The sequence below is a fragment of the Homo sapiens genome, chromosome 4, assembly GCF_000001405.40.
Source record: "Homo sapiens chromosome 4, GRCh38.p14 Primary Assembly".
NCBI lineage: Eukaryota > Metazoa > Chordata > Mammalia > Primates > Hominidae > Homo > Homo sapiens.
Genome location: NC_000004.12, coordinates 70,132,394 through 70,148,463, shown reverse-complemented (window position 1 = coordinate 70,148,463; position 16,070 = coordinate 70,132,394). Strand labels below are relative to the sequence as shown.

Below are 16,070 nucleotides of genomic sequence, written 5' to 3'. Positions count from 1 at the left end.
TGATGTGTCCTACTAAGAAGTGGATAGTATTTATGCTCAATGGACTCAGTATTGTCTATGAAGTAGAAAGGAAAATTGTTTTCTGGTGAGATAAGTTTGAAGTTTAAGGAGAGTTAAAGGCAGTTAACACTAATGTCAACAAGAAAAAGAGTTTGATAAGATGTCTTTGGTTACCAACACAGTTTAAAAAACATAAACTTACTTAAAATTCATCTGTTTTGGTGGAATGGCAGTAGAAATCAAATTCAGAGTTTTACGTGGTTGCGTGTTTTCCAGGTAAGGTTGGCTAAGTGTAGGGGGGCAGAAAAATTATATGAGCTATCAAGATAATATTTAAAATAATGAAGCATGAAGTCTGGGCTGTGTAAGAAAGGAAGTGAGTCCAATAGAGAGTAGAAAGAATGAAATGTAATCAGAATTTTAGTGGATGGGAGTGGGGTGAATGGATTCTATGAGGAAAGATAAAAATTCTCTTGGCTTCTGCTTATTCTACCTTTTCAAAATATATGTCATATGTCAGCTTCTGAAAATCCCTTAAATGTTCAGTCTGAATAAGAAAAGAAGTAGCGCTAAGAGGAATTGGATAGAATGGAATACAATGGGAATTATAAAGGATTGACGTATTCTATGGAGTCAAAGATAAAGTCTTCAAAATTTGAAGTTTTTCACTCATCGATGACATATATCATATAATGTTACTCCCCAATGGAAACTCCTGTAATGTCTTCCCATTACAACCAAATGCTTAACAAATAACTTTCATCCCTATCCCCTCCTTCCTGATCTGCTTTCCTTATAGCTTTCCCCATCCCTCCATCTTCTCAGGACGTGCTGACTCCCTTGCAGCCCAAGTATGCCTTGGAGCCCACGTATGCACCCATGTGTTTGCTTTTGCTCTTTCTTCATTTGGTTACACCATTAATGAGGAATCTTGAAAGGTTTATGGTCTTAGTGGCTGACTCCATACTTTAGTCTGACAAGGTGGACTGAGAGAGGAGGACTGAGGGCTCTGGTGAAGGTTTGAGATTAAAATTGTGGCAAATTATAAGCATGAATAAATCAGAAAGATGGTAGAAGCATGGCTAAGTAGTTCTGTGAGCCAAGCTGTGGTGGGAGAATATAAAACTTGTAGTGTTCTAGATTATTGGTTATGATAAGTAAAATTGAAGTGTCCAGAAAGTGTATATAAAGCATTTTGGTAGTAGATAAGCTAGTTTAAAATTAATTGTTAAATAACTACTTATATTAGCATCAGTAGCCTCGGTGGTCAATATGAACAATAAAAATGCTGATTATACACCAATGAATCACTTGAAATTTTATTTTGAGGGGAAAAGAAATGTGTTTTTGTAACTCAGAAACAGTGGTAAAAACATCTTAAGTAATCATCAACCTAATGAAACCACAATGCAAACCCAACATATTCAACATTAACTCTTGGGAAGGGTATACACAATTCAGGAAATATTCTGCAGTCTTCTTTGACTCAGTATTCCCGCCTTCACCATAAGCCTGTCCAAACATGCTGGTAGTATGAAGTAATATGGTAGATTTTCCAGGCAAACCTTAAAAAAAAGGTAGATTTCCCAGGTAAATCTAAAAAAAAAAAGCAAAAAAAAAAAGCAATACTGGACTTATATATTACAGAAGATAGTTTTGGTTTATGTACAGAACACACACACTTGTCCATCTTAGTCTGGCAGAATGTTATTTATAACTATTATGAGTTAATATTTTCTCATGCTTAAGATAATTCATGGCACATAATAAGATTTTTAATAACTATCTGTGTTCATGCTTGATGGAGTCAATACAGTCTATGAGGTAGAAGGAGAAATTGTTTCCTGATAAGATAAACAGTTTAGTGAATGAGAGTTAATAGCAAGCTTATTCAATCTAGCATACAAAAATAGCATTTTTATTTATTAATGGTACATATGTATATTTTCAGCCAATTTTGAAGGAACACTTTATTATTATTGTTATATTATTATATTATTATTTTCTAAGTTGCTTATTAGGCATATAAGATATTACTGCTTCCTATAATTTAAGCCTTTTGATCTAATTGGAATGTAGATTTCGGTAAAATAATGTTTTATGTACAATGACTTTGGGGTCTTATATTTCAATAAATCATTTTAAAATTAAATTCTTCAAATTGCACTGTACATTTTTTGGCTTCTCTGTTTCTTTTGTAATTTTTCTGTCAATTCAATACCTTCTGCCTTATATTTTATCTCTGATTCATCACTTGACCTTGTTGTATTATTATATCCTTCTATCTCTAATTAGCAGTTAGCACATTATATTGTCATTTCTGTGTCTTTGTCAGAAAAGGACTTAATGAAGGTAAATGTAGTATCATAATTCTGTATCTCTCAGGTCTCTGGCATTACGGGTCATATGATAAGCTTTTTAAAAAATGTAGAATAAAGCGGGGCTCCATGGCTCATGCCTATAATCCCAGCACTTTGGGAGGCCAAGACGGGCGGATCACCTGAGGTCGGGAGTTCAAAACCAGCTTAGCCAACATGTTGAAACCCTGTCTCTACTGAAAAAAAAAAAATACAAAACTAGCAGGGCGTGGTGGCGGGCGCCTGTAATCCCAGCTATTCTGGAGGCAGATACAGGAGAATTGCTTGAACCCAGGAGGTGGAGGTTGTAGTGAGCCAAGATCGCGCCATTGCACTCCAGCCTGGGCAATAAGAGTGAAACTCCGTCTCAAAAAAAAAAAAAAAAAAAGTGGAATAAATATGTGAATAATGACAGTAAAAAAGGTTACTATTTATAAAACACAACTGTATTTTTAGCTCTTATCCATAACAATTATGGTATTATTTTTGTCACATGAGATTACTTTGTGAAGTTGCCTGACCCTTTTTCATTATTAGGAAGGCCAAAATAACATAATAAAGAAAATCAAGTTTGTAACAATGTACTCAAAGTCAGAAAATATCCTCTCAAAAAAACCTTAACGTGGCCTTTCGGGTGCAGTTCGGCATTGGTGGAAGAGCGTTTGAGCCCTTGGGCTGGAAATCTGTATTCGATTTTTTTTTTGGCTTTTTTATTTTCTCAGGATTATCATGAGCAATTTATTTAACCTCCATTCCACCTCAGGTTCTTCATCTCAAATCAACTGATACTTTGATTATGGCCATTCTTGCAGGAATAAGGTGGCATGGCATTGTGATTTTGATTTGCATTTCCTTGATCATTAGTGATGTTGAGCATTTTTTCATATGTTTGTTGACCATTTGTTTATCTTCTTTTGAGAATTGTCTATTCATGGCCTTAGCCCACTTTTTGATGGGATTGTTTGTTTTGTTCTTACTGGTTTGTTTGACTTCGTCGTAGGTTCTGGATATTAGTCTTTTGTTGGATGTATAGATTGTGAAGATTTTCTCCCACTCTGTGGGTTGTCTGTTTACTCCGCTGACTGTTCCTATTGCCATGCAAAAGCTCTTTAGTTTAATTAGGTCCCAGCTACTTATCTTTGTTTTTATTGCATTTGCTTTTGGGTTTTTTGTCGTGAAATCCTTGGCTAAGCCAATGTCTAGAAGGGTTTTTCCAATCTTCCAGAATTTTTATAGTTTCAGGTCTTTGGTTTAAGTCCCCATCTTGATTTGATTTTTGTGTAGGGTGAGAGATGAGGATCCAATTTCATTCTCCTACATGTGGCCAGCCAATTGTACCAGCATGTCCTTTGTTGAAAAGCATGTCCTTTCCCCACTTTATGTTTTTATTTGCTAATCAAAGAATCAAAACAGTAGATGTTGGCATAGATGCGGTGATCAGGGAACAATTCTACACCGCTGGTGGGAATGTAAACTAGAACAGCCACTATGGAAAACAGTGTGGAGATTCCTTAAAGAACTAAAAGTAGAGCTACCATTTGATCCAGCAATCCCACTACTGGGCATCTATCCAGAGGAAAAGAAGTCATTATTTGAAAAAGATACTTGCATACGCATGTTTATAGCAGCACAATTCACAATTGCAAAATCGTGGAACCAACCCAAATGCCCATCAATCAACGAGTGGATAAAGAAACTGTGGTATGTATATCTGATGGAATACTACTCAGCCACAAAAAGAATGAATTAACTGCATTTGCAAGAATGTGGATGAGATTGGGGACTATTATTCTATGTGAAGTAACTCAGGAATGGAAAACCAAACATCGTATGTTCTCACTGATATGTGGGAGCTAATCTATGAGGATGCAAAGCCATAAGAATGATATAATGGACTTTGGGAACTTGAGGGGAAGAGTGAGGCGGGGATGCATAAAAGACAACAAATACAGTGCAGTCTATACTGCTCGGGTGATGGGTGCAGCAGGATCTCACAAATCACCACTGAAGAACTTACTCGTGTAACCAAATACCACCTGTACCCCAATAACTTATGGAAAAAAAATCAGCTGATAGTATTAACTACTTCATAGGTTTTTTGTGAACATTAAATTAGTCAATACAGGCAAGGGCTTAGAATTGTAATTGGTGCACTATATGCTCTTGATAAATTATTATTACTATTATTATTCATTGTTTTGAAACCTACTTTGTCACGTTAGAAATTTGCGTTTGGGACATATAAAAAGAGCAAAACGTTTGAATTAAATGAGACAGAATTCTAGGATAGGAGATAAACCTGAATGCTGTAAGAGCAAAATAAGAAAAATAAAACATGACTACACAAAGGGCATTACAATTTTCTTGAGTTGCCACCATGGTTCTGAATCCATTGAATAAATTGTCAAAGAGAGAAATTTAAAAAATAAGCAATTTTTTTTTGTAGAAAACATTAATTTTTCCAGAGAAAATGATGCAGGAAATTTGTCTTAAATGGCTTGAATTGTGTATGAAACTCTCTTGATATTATATATCTTTTCTCAAACCAAAGAGCCAGGTCTGAATTTCTTGGCACAACTCAAAGATGACAGGAAATCACCTGTGTGAACACTATGCCTGTGACAATTTTCACTCAGAGTCATTCCTTCTGGCTTGAATGTATCATTAGCTTTGGAGGAAATGTACTATAATTTATATTTAAAATATTTATGAAATATGCATGCAAATTACACAGACAACTTACATTTGTGAGTCAAAAAGATGAAAGCAAAATTTAAAACACTTTATAAATGAAAATATGATTTAATTAAAGTTGGAAGTATATTACTTAATAATATTATTTAATATCACTTTCTTCACATAAAAGTTATTGCTTAAATTCTAGGGGGAAAGGCACTTACCAAAGTAAAGTAGGAGCAGTTAATTCAAGAATCTTAAAGATCCCTGTTTGAAGAGAAAAGAGAAAAAAATGAATAATTTTATTTAAAAAATGTATAGGAACAAATCTCCATCTCATATGCAAATCAGAGGTACTAAATTCTGATTTTTCTAAAATTATATGGAAGACACTTTTAAATGCTACATGCATATCTAAAAAACTAAATCATATTAAAAAATTCCAGAGAAATGATGTGACTTGCCTATGTTCAAAAGCCTATTTATATTAGGTCTTCTGATTCCAAAACCCATGTTGTTTATAATACATTTTAGTTCTGTGGGTTCAATGTCCTGTTCTCTCATTCATTCTTCATGTTAGAAGAAATGTTCCCTAGGTCAAATCTCTTTTTTTTTTTTTAAATAAGATAAAGGATAAATGTTAACTAGAACTTGGTCCAGCTACTTTTTACAATTTCATCTACTTTTGTAACATTATTATTTTTATTTATTATGCTGTATTTGCATATGATTTATTATTTAATTTTTAGCTTAGGCATTTTTATTTGTTTCAACTTCTACTTGAGTTTATTGGGATTATGTCAGTTTCATCCCCCTAGCTTACTTTTAGCACAACAGATAACTATTTTTAAGTTGCAAATAAAAAGAGAGCACTCACCAGAGTGGGGATAACTTGGTAAGCATTTGTCTTCATGTTTTTCCATGGTTTCATAATTTTGTGATATTGATAAACAGCTTTTACATATTGGGGCAAGGTGAACTGATAATACTGGTTGATTTTGTTCTAGAAAAATATATAAAGAATTATCTCAATATCCCAGAATCAGAGAGACCTGAACATAACCAAATAAATCAAAACTCTATTTGGATAAATTCTACATTTTACCAAATGAACTTAATTAAAGGAAAATTTATTCATACAAAATTAACTCTATGCTTACATTTACAGAATTAACTGTAGAAGTAAGAAAATTATTTGGTTAATTCAGACCCCAAAGCCACAGTGCTTGTGTGAAAGAAATCAAAAACAAGGAAAAATAAAATTAAAAATACATGTAAGAAGGCAAGAAGATAATTTCTTGACTAAGATAAGTGTCCCCAGTTGTGGTTTATTTTCTGTTTCTGGTAGGAAAACGCTGGTCCTCAGAGTCATATAGAATATGTGATTTAACTTAGTGGAATCTATGACACTGAGCCAGTTAATCTCTCTGAGTGTTATTTATCTTGTAGAAGTAAATGAATTAATATGGAAAGAGCACTTTATTTGTATAATGCATCCCATATACTTTATTATGAGTACATATGCCCCTCTTCTATGTTCTATTTATCTATATAGATTTAGCCACAGATTATTGTAGGGATTTAAATTGGAATTAAATACAGTGGCATCTTCTTTTAAGCTAAGTTCTCATTTTTACAAAGTGGAAAATCAATGGAATTTTACAATTGCCATGGAATAATTGTTGGGTGGATACTTAGCAATAATATAAGTGGTACAGTTGGGGAATCATTCTGTAACCATTTTTAAAACTATAAGGAAGGCTTTTATAAAAATTAGAACTTGGTAAACATAGTATTTTTTTTTTTTTGTCAAGAGGATTGCAACTAGGCAGTTTCCAAGTAAAGTCTAATTGTGCTATGTTTGTATGGAAAATTTACCAGATGTTTTTGGTCATTCTTTTCTTCTTCAGTCAGCTCAGTTTTCTGTTAATAACAAAAATAAATGGTCATAAAATACAGAAGAAAATGTTTTGAGATTATATTTTATTAATTTTGTTTGAACAAAACTTACTTACCTTGGTGAATACTTCAGTTGATTCCTTAGGGAAAGAAAATGAAAAAATAACCTCACTTGGATAACCCAATAGTAATTTTTGTCCATATCATAATAATATAGAATTAAGGCTAATTATTTTAATAATTCAGGGCCAAGCTGTTACTACCAAGAAACAAAGTCCTACTTTATAGAAATCTATTCTGAATTAAATGAATGTAAGTATTCATTAAAAGGACATGTCCTGTGTCAACATAATGGTACCTGACTGAAAATACATTTTATTTCATATTTTCCATTTACCTACATGTTCATATAATGTCAAATTTCTGTGTACTATGGGCAGATGCAAAAGAGAGAGAGAGAGAGACAGAGAGAGAGAGAGGAAAAATAATTAAGCCTACTGAGGTGTGTGGCAAAGTCTGCATGTTCTTTCTTGGAGGACCAATGTTTTTTATATTAGTGTCCATAGGCCCACAGTTTGAGGTGGAGAGAAAGGGTAAAACATGCTTCTCAAGGCACTAAGAAGGAAGATCTTGCTTGCTTTGGGCCCTAGGCCACAAGATCCTGTGCCACAATTTATACTTCATATTCTGAAGACCCTTTCCAATTGTGCTCTCCCACTTGGCACTTTCTCCCACAGTGGGTGTTCCCTGAACCTGTGATTTACATAACTTATAACCCAGTCCAGTATTCAACTCCTAAACGATATTAAACTACAGTGAAGGCAACTGACAGAATCCTGATTTGGCTGGCTTATTTTAAAAATTCATTTTTCCAATGTAACAGAGTTCAGACATATATTATCCGAAAGTGTGTGATAGAACAGCTACTTCTTGACCATGTAGATGGTTCATTCCAGACCTCTAAAATGACTTTGAGACTGTGTATTTTTTACAAGGGTTTTCCTTTATTTCCATTCGATATGTCAATAGCATAACACCTAATTTACTTAAAATAATTAGTCAACAGCAAGAAACAGAGTATTTCTCAATGAATTCATTAATTGTTTGATTTTAAAATTATCATTTTCCTCACCAGAGATAACTTACTAGAACATTATTTGAGAAATAAAAAGTATAATAATCAAAATTTTAGAATCAGGGCAATTGAATACTTAGCAGTATATTCTTAATATTTGTGGACAAAAGATCTTTTTTATATTACAACAAAGGTATTATTATGACAGGTGAAAAAGATTTATTGCAATAAAATTCTCAGTTCAAAAAATGGTAGAAATCTGTTTTTTAAAAAAAGAAAGAAGCAGCAAAAAACATAGAATACTTAGGCTATGTGGAGAGATCTTGCTAACCTGGAAGGTCTTGACTGAAAAAAATTAAGGTCAATTGAGAAAATCACAGTTAAGGAGTAAAGAGGATTTTTAAGTAAACTAAAATATCATTCAATTTTACTAAAAGAGAATTTCAGGAATATTAATATTTTAATGTTTAGTTTTTAGAAATTTGAGTCAAATACAGCTTCATATAGAAACAATACTTTACCATATCAACAGTCTTTTTTGGTGTTTCCTTAAAGGAATAAAACAAGAATTAGACACATTGTTCTCAGTGTATTGATTATACACAATTGCCTCTTAGATGTATAGAGAAAAACTACTGTTTTATAAAGAAGAAGAATAAAAATAAATTTATCTGTAATGCTTCTTTTAATCACTTTTTTATCTCTAAGATGTGGAAACATGTAAGGGACATAGTATTTGCTAAATACAATATTTCTTAAATAAATAATTGAATGAATGAATATTTCACAAGAGTAATTGAGAAAGCACATGCTTTTAGGCAACTCATTTAAATAATTTTAATAATTGCATGTTTATTTAAAACATATATATATATATAATCAAACTTGTGAGTTGAGTGAAGTATATATAACATTCCTTTTATTTTTATTTTTATTTTTTTTAATTTTTGAGACAGAGTCTCTCTCTTGTCACCCAGGCTGGAGTGCAACCGTACTCTCTTGGCTCACTGCAAACATTGCCTCCTGGGTTCAAGTGATTCTCTTGCTTCAGCCTCCCGAGTAGTTTGGATTACAGGCACCTGCCACCATACCTGGCTAATTTTTGTATTTTTTTAGTAGAGATGGGGTTTCACCATATTGGCCAGGCTAGTCTCGAACTCCCGACATCAGGTGATCCACCCGCCTTGGCCTCCCAAAGTGCGTGAGCCACCGTGCCCGGCCTAACATTTCTTATTATTAGCAATAACAAGTTTTTAAAAAGCATAATTTCAGGAAAAATATTATATAAATAATAGCTTGGATGGAGAACAGGTAAGGGGAAAAAACAAATTGAAAAGTTTAAAAGTTTACAAGAATGAAAACTTGCAGGAAAGCAAAAAACTAATTTAGAAGATTCCCTTCCCAGAGAGGATCTGGATTCAGAGAAGCAATGCCCTTTGGAGGATCATTAACAACATATCTGGACTCCGATCTCTCTTTTCCTCCCCTCCTACGTGAAATTCCCTCTCTGTCCAAGGGTAGGGCGAGGGCTGTCTCAGATACCTTGCTGCCTCTTTGCTGATCACAGGCAAGATTTCCTTTTAGGACCTGACCTCCTCCTTGCTTCTTAACCTCAGTGTCAAGTCTGACTTTATTTTTTTTCTCTGTGTCACAATGAATACCTTCAGAGGCAGAAACATCTCTTCAACTGCCCCTGTAACAAACTCAGAAAACTATCCAAGATGAAAAATCACGCTGTGGAGATCTTGCCAGGTTATAAAATAAATCTATCAGCTATCTATAAACTTCCCAGATTGGCATTGTCTGATGGGGTGGTCTTGGGTTGTCACTGCTCCCATTGAGGCCTGCCTGGAGCAGAGGTCTCCTTCTGGTCTCTCTTGCATAATGCCCATGAATGAGTTTCTAAAACTGCTTCGAGATGTAGAGTGTTGCATCAGAAATGCCAACCACTCGGGCAAAAAGCTACTGTAAATTCCCATTTATTAGTGGTTGGAAAAAAATTTTATTTCACCTCAAAGAAAAATAGTTTGAAAATACCTACCAAAACTAAAAATAAATATACTAAACCTAAACAACCCAAATGCCTTCTAAGTATAGGGCAATAGAAGACTGAATTGTGGAATATCATTAGCAGTGTAAATAGGTAGATTATACCTGCTGTAACAATATGGATAAAGTGACAATATGGATAAATGTGCTAGAAATCTGTTGAGTGAAAAATGCAACACCAAAGAGGCTACATAAAGTATGCTAGTCCTTGTAAATCTTAAAAACAAACCAAACTACATAGAGAAACTACTTTGAAATTCAGGGTTTGTATGCTTTTTAAAAGAAATGAAGCCCAATCTAAATGCTAATATGAGTTACTTGAAGGAGATTTTCAATAGGAAATAAGTCCCTTAGGATCTTTCCGATATCATCTTGTCATATTCAGAGTCTAACATTAACTATGAGAACTTACTGTGTGGTAAAAGCAATTTATTACTTAATATATTAACCTTATTAAAAGTAATGTTATTGTCTAAAATGAATGTTCTAAAGAGAAATAAACACACACAAAATTAAATAGTGTTTAGGATCATATATGTATGAAATAAAACTGTTATAAAATATAGAACTATAAGTATTAATTATGATACTCATAATTTGTAGTTACATATGTGTTACATATTAATTTATGGTATTAAAGTTTGTGATAAAAATATTATAAAAATTTCATGTACATATCCTCTAACTAAAAAATTTCACTTTTAGGAATTTTTCCTATTAATATATTCATATATGTATAAAATAAGTTATTATAAGAATATTAGTATGTTATTTTTATAATTTAAAAAATAGAAACAACATTTATCAATAGGAAACTATGAAGATGTATCAATGAAGATGTATACAGTGGAATTAACTGAAAAAATTTTAAGAAAGAATGAAAACCACTAACTGATTAAGCTTCCATTTCTCATGGGAACTGGCAAATTTAGTTTGGTTAGTTGATTCATGCAAGTTTAAACCTCCTTTACTTGATTATTCATAAAATTATGACAAAAGTAGTTGTTTGCTTTCATTATCACCGGTTTCCTATGTTTTCAATTTTTTGGTGATCATCAGTACTGTAGCATAAGGGAAAAGTCAGTGTAAAATAAGTATTCTAAGAAAGATATATAAATGTACTTATGCATATAGATGCATATACTCTCACATACACATCATCTGCTATGCTTCCATATTATTGGCAAAAGTGTAAAATATCTTAATTCTGATAGTGAGGATATATCTCAGTAAGTGTTTTTAAATTTTTATGTGTTCAAACATCCCTATAAAACTTAGATAAATTCAATAATTCTTTCTTTAAGAAAAATGCAGATGTTTACAAAACAGTGAAATTTTCCTATTTCCTATTTATCAAACTCTCCATTAGCATCAAATTAAGATCTACTACTTTCCCTTAGAAATTACAGGCTAATATGAAAACGGAAACTAGCTTTCCTATATCAATGGGGCAAAAAGGAAGGGAGGTAGAGAAAGATGATAGCACGTTTGGTGTCTGTTCATTGGTATAGGAACACTGTCCCAGGTCTGTTAACCAATTAACTCTGCAGGGCTTCCCTATGTAAATAGCAGAATCTTTATGCCAAACTAAAACTGTCATATTTTTTATATACAGAATATTTTTAATTTATATTCTAACAATGAAATAATAATCTATATTAGCAGTGACAAATTTAAGTTAATATAGTAAATAAATTTAAAGAATACAGAAAATCATGTTATTTATTATATGAGTTGATATTATATACTGTTTCCAAATGTGCTTGACTATTGGTTTTCTCAAATACAGTGTCATTAAATTGTTTCATCTTTTAGGTTTTGGAGTGAGGGTCCTCATAGGTTTGGAGTGAGGGGCTTTATTCTTGGAAAGAAATAAAAAAAAAATGTATCTACTGATTCAAGAAGAATATAGTGCCAGTCCAGCATTTGATGACAAACTTGCAACCAATTGGTGATAGAAAGGTGATGGAAAACTAACAAGAAATCTTTTCAAGAATATCTAACTTTGACAATGTGCTTCACAAATGGCACACAAGTATATTTTCTTGGGACCCTCTTGACATCCATTCATTACCTCTTTCATACTTATTTAAAAAGATACTTATAAGGAATAAGATTGGTAAAAAAATAATGCACATGCATCTAAGATATATTTCATCAATGAACCAGTAAATACATAAATACATTTTACCTGACTGGTATGTATAACTACATCCTTTTTCTCCTTATATTTCCACAAAATAAATAATACATTGTTATAAATAAAAAGCAAGTCATAATAGATAAATAAAAAGTAGTTCTTTAAATATATTTAATATAAGTGGTTTGTACTTACTTTCTGAGAGATGCCGGCAGTTTTCCTTAAAAAATATAAATAGTATGTTTAATTACTTATAAAATTTTTATTTTTCCCTTTCTTTGGACTTTTAATTATTCCCGGAGATGAAATAAGGGAAATCAAACTAGGCTTTTTATTGGGTGGCTATATTTACTGGTCCTGTAACAAGACAAAAAACCTTTAATTTTATGATTTGATCAAAAGGCTGAGGAGAACTTGTGTTATTTATTGCTCATATTAGAAAAAGTTCCCTAAAACAAATTCATTTTATGAAACAAAATGGAAATGGTTACTTGGCGTTTGAGCAAGTACTTCCTTACATTTCCCCATATTACATTTCCTTTGTTAAATGAAGGTACTGATTTCTATCCTCCCCCCTACATGAAAGAATTATTTGAAGGACCAAGTGAAATGATATATGAGCAAACACTTAGGACATGTATGTTAAATTTAAATTAAATTAGTACTTATTTGTCACTATTGCTACTATTGTTATTTGTTATTGTATTTGGACTGCCCTATTTTAAAGTTAGAACTTTTGGGTGTATTTTGCCTCGAGTTACTGTATTTTTTTTTGAGAGGGAGTCTCGCTCTGTTGCCAGGCTGGAGTGCAGTGGCAGATCTTGGCTCACTGCAACCTCCAACCCCCTGGTTCAGGTGATTCTCCTGGCTTAGTCTTCCAAGTGGCTGGGATTACAGGCACGCACCACCACCCTCAGCTAATCTTTATATTTTTAGTAGAGACAGGGTTTCACCATGTTGGCCAGGATGGTCCCGAACTCCCGTCCTCAGGTGATCCTCCTGCCTTGGCCTCCCAAAGTGCTGGGATTACAGGCCTGAGCCACTGAGCCTGGCCACTGTATATATTTTTATCCTGTACCCCTCGCCTCTTAAAAATGCAAAACTTACTAAGTGGGAACAAAGGGGTAGACACTTGTCTTATGCTGATCTCCTGGGTTTATAAAAATCTGATGTTGATAAGGAACCTGAAGAAATGGGAGGAAGTTCCACTTCTGATAAAATGGGTTGATTTTGTTCTAGAGAGAAAGGAAATTATGAATATTTATTCCAACATTTTATATCCTTCATGAGTCAAAGCAAATGTTAGCAAAACTGAATGAATTAGAACTTTAATTAGAAAATTTATAATTGGTGGCAAATTTGCTTAGAAAAAGAATAGTTTACATACATAAAAATTACCTTAACTGTTGCAGAATTTAAAAATTATCAAATTAAGTAAGACCACGGGAGAAAATTATCTATGTGGGGAAGAAAAGTATGTTTAAGAAAGAAAAAGAAAAGAAAACAATCACAAGGTACATGTCTCAACTTATTCCTTTTCCATGTGTGTTGGAAGTTAGTCTTGTCTTTGGAGTCAGAAATGAACTTTCATTCTCTTTACCCAGGGCACTGGAATCCACGACCCTGATTAAATTGCTTAAACTGTTTGAGCATTACTTATCATGTGGGATTATATCTGTTAAACTATAAAGAGAAGTTTGCCTAGTAACTAAGTGTTCTAGTAAGCTCCGGCGTCTTTGAACTGATTTTGCAAAGATTATTTTTAGGGATTAAATATAAAACCACAAAGCATTTTTTCCTCAGGAGAATTTTCATTTAATAGAGAGTGAAAAATAAGTGTGTGTAGAAAGTCAACGGGTCTTTAGAATTGTTGGATGAATCCATGGTTACGTTAAGAGAGGTACAAAATGAGAATGTTGCTGGAAGTATTTTGACAAAATGTAAGAAAGATATTTATAGCAACGTGGAAGTTAGTAACGATCTAAATTCCTAAAAAGACAGGTTTTATTTGGAGCATTCCATTTTTAAGTGTTCAAAACAGGTGTTTCTATTATAAAGGTTTTAGAAAGCATGTCTGCTCTGTGTTGAAATAAGATAATTGCCAAATTTTTAGATGAATTTACTGTGTTCCAAGCAATTTTTGTATAAATTAAATGTATATCATCTAATACAATCTTGCAGGGTTAATGCAGCTCTCCGTATTTTCAGTTAAGGAAACTGGAGCTTGGAGAGGTTAAGTAGTAACTCGTGTAGCTGGAGTTGGAATACAAGTTGCCTGACACCAAAATCCATGCGCTTTCCCTACACAGGAAGCAAACTTCTCTAATCCGCAGACGATGGATTACATCAGGAGTCCCCAACTTTTGGACATCAAGGACTGGTTTTGTGGAAGACAATTTTTCCACGGATGAGGGCGGGGGTATGGTTTCGGGATAAAACTGTTCTACCTCAGATCATCAGGCATTAGAAAGATTCTCATAAGGAGCACACAACCCAGATCCCTCACATGCGCAGTTCACAATACAATTCGCTCTCCTGAGAATCTAACGCCACCGCTGATCTGACAGAGGCGGAGCTCAGGCTAGTGCTAGCTTGCTTGCAGCTCACCTCCTGCTGTCCTGCGTGGTTCCTAACAGGCCAAGGACCGGTACCGGTACCCCCTGTGGTTTGGGGACCCCCTAGATTATATGACCTCCCGTAGCCTGAGAATGTTTACACTTCAGATAATCATCTAAGATCCCGTCGTCAAAGAGAAGTTGAGTGCGTAATAATGTGATACTTTAACTGCATTGGTATCTAACAGGTAATTTAAACTTGCAACAAACTTTCTGAAATTTGTAACTCCTCCAAAATCAGTGGATAATTTCTCAATACTCATTTTTCTTAAAATATAAATCCAGACTGATTTGACAAAAATAATAGCCAGAAATCAGAGCAACAAAAATAGCAAAAATAGGCTCCTACAAATTGGGGATAAATTTCTTTCTTTTTTTTTTTTTCTTTTTTTTTTTTTTTTGAGACGGAGTCTTGCTCGGTCGCCAGGGTAGAATGCAGTGGCCTGATCTCGGCTCACTGCAACGTCCGCCTCCCGGGTTCAAGCGATTCTCCTGCCTCAGCCTCCTGAGTAGCTGGGATTACAGGCACGCGCCACCACGCCCAGCTAACTTTTGTATTTTTAGTAGAGACGGGGTTTCACGATGTTGGCCAGGACGGTCTCGATCTCTTGACCTGGTGAACCACCCGCCTCGCCCTCCCAAAGTGCTGGGATTACAGGCGTGAGCCACCGCGCCGGCCGATAAATTTCTTAATGGGATATAATGAATTGTGTGAATATTTGAGAGAAGAAACAGCCAAAATAAGATGTTTTACTTGAAATCATAATTTATATGAGAAATTTACCAGTTGTTTTACGTAGTGCTTTTGATCCACAGTGTGCTTAACTTCCTGGTAAGAAAAAAAATTAATTTGTATACAAATATACAAAAATAAAACACTACTAAGTGGTATTAATTTTATTTTATTTGAATGAAAATTACCTCTGTGGAAACTTCTGCAGATTCCTTTTAGGGGAAGAAAAGAAGAATTAACATTACTTGCATGATTAAGCTTCGGAGTCATGCTAGAATATTAGGGGTAATTAATTAAATACTCAGGGCCCAAGCCACTACTACTCAAAAATTATGTCATTTATTAGGAATTTAATAAATTAATTAAAAAATTAAAACATTTATAATCAGAGTCATCATTATCAAAATAGCACATGAATAAAAATGTTTTATTTTAAATTTTCATAAATTTTTTATTATTCATACAATATCAAATGCCTACAGAAGGTGACAAGTGACACAAAATATTATGACACAGGCCTGGTGAG

General features: G+C 33.6%; 1 pseudogene across 1 annotated transcript; it reads right to left on the bottom strand.

The window, feature by feature from the left end:
- Nucleotides 1-1,759: 1,759 nt before the first annotated feature.
- Nucleotides 1,760-14,860, bottom strand: CSN1S2BP (casein alpha s2 like B, pseudogene; annotated as a pseudogene). The gene is made up of 8 exons (NR_033311.1): nt 14,804-14,860; nt 12,392-12,416; nt 8,529-8,555; nt 7,049-7,072; nt 6,912-6,956; nt 5,911-6,036; nt 5,258-5,300; nt 1,760-1,844 (listed from the first exon to the last, which is right to left on the bottom strand). The product of NR_033311.1 is annotated as a casein alpha s2 like B, pseudogene (transcript).
- Nucleotides 14,861-16,070: the final 1,210 nt, after the last annotated feature.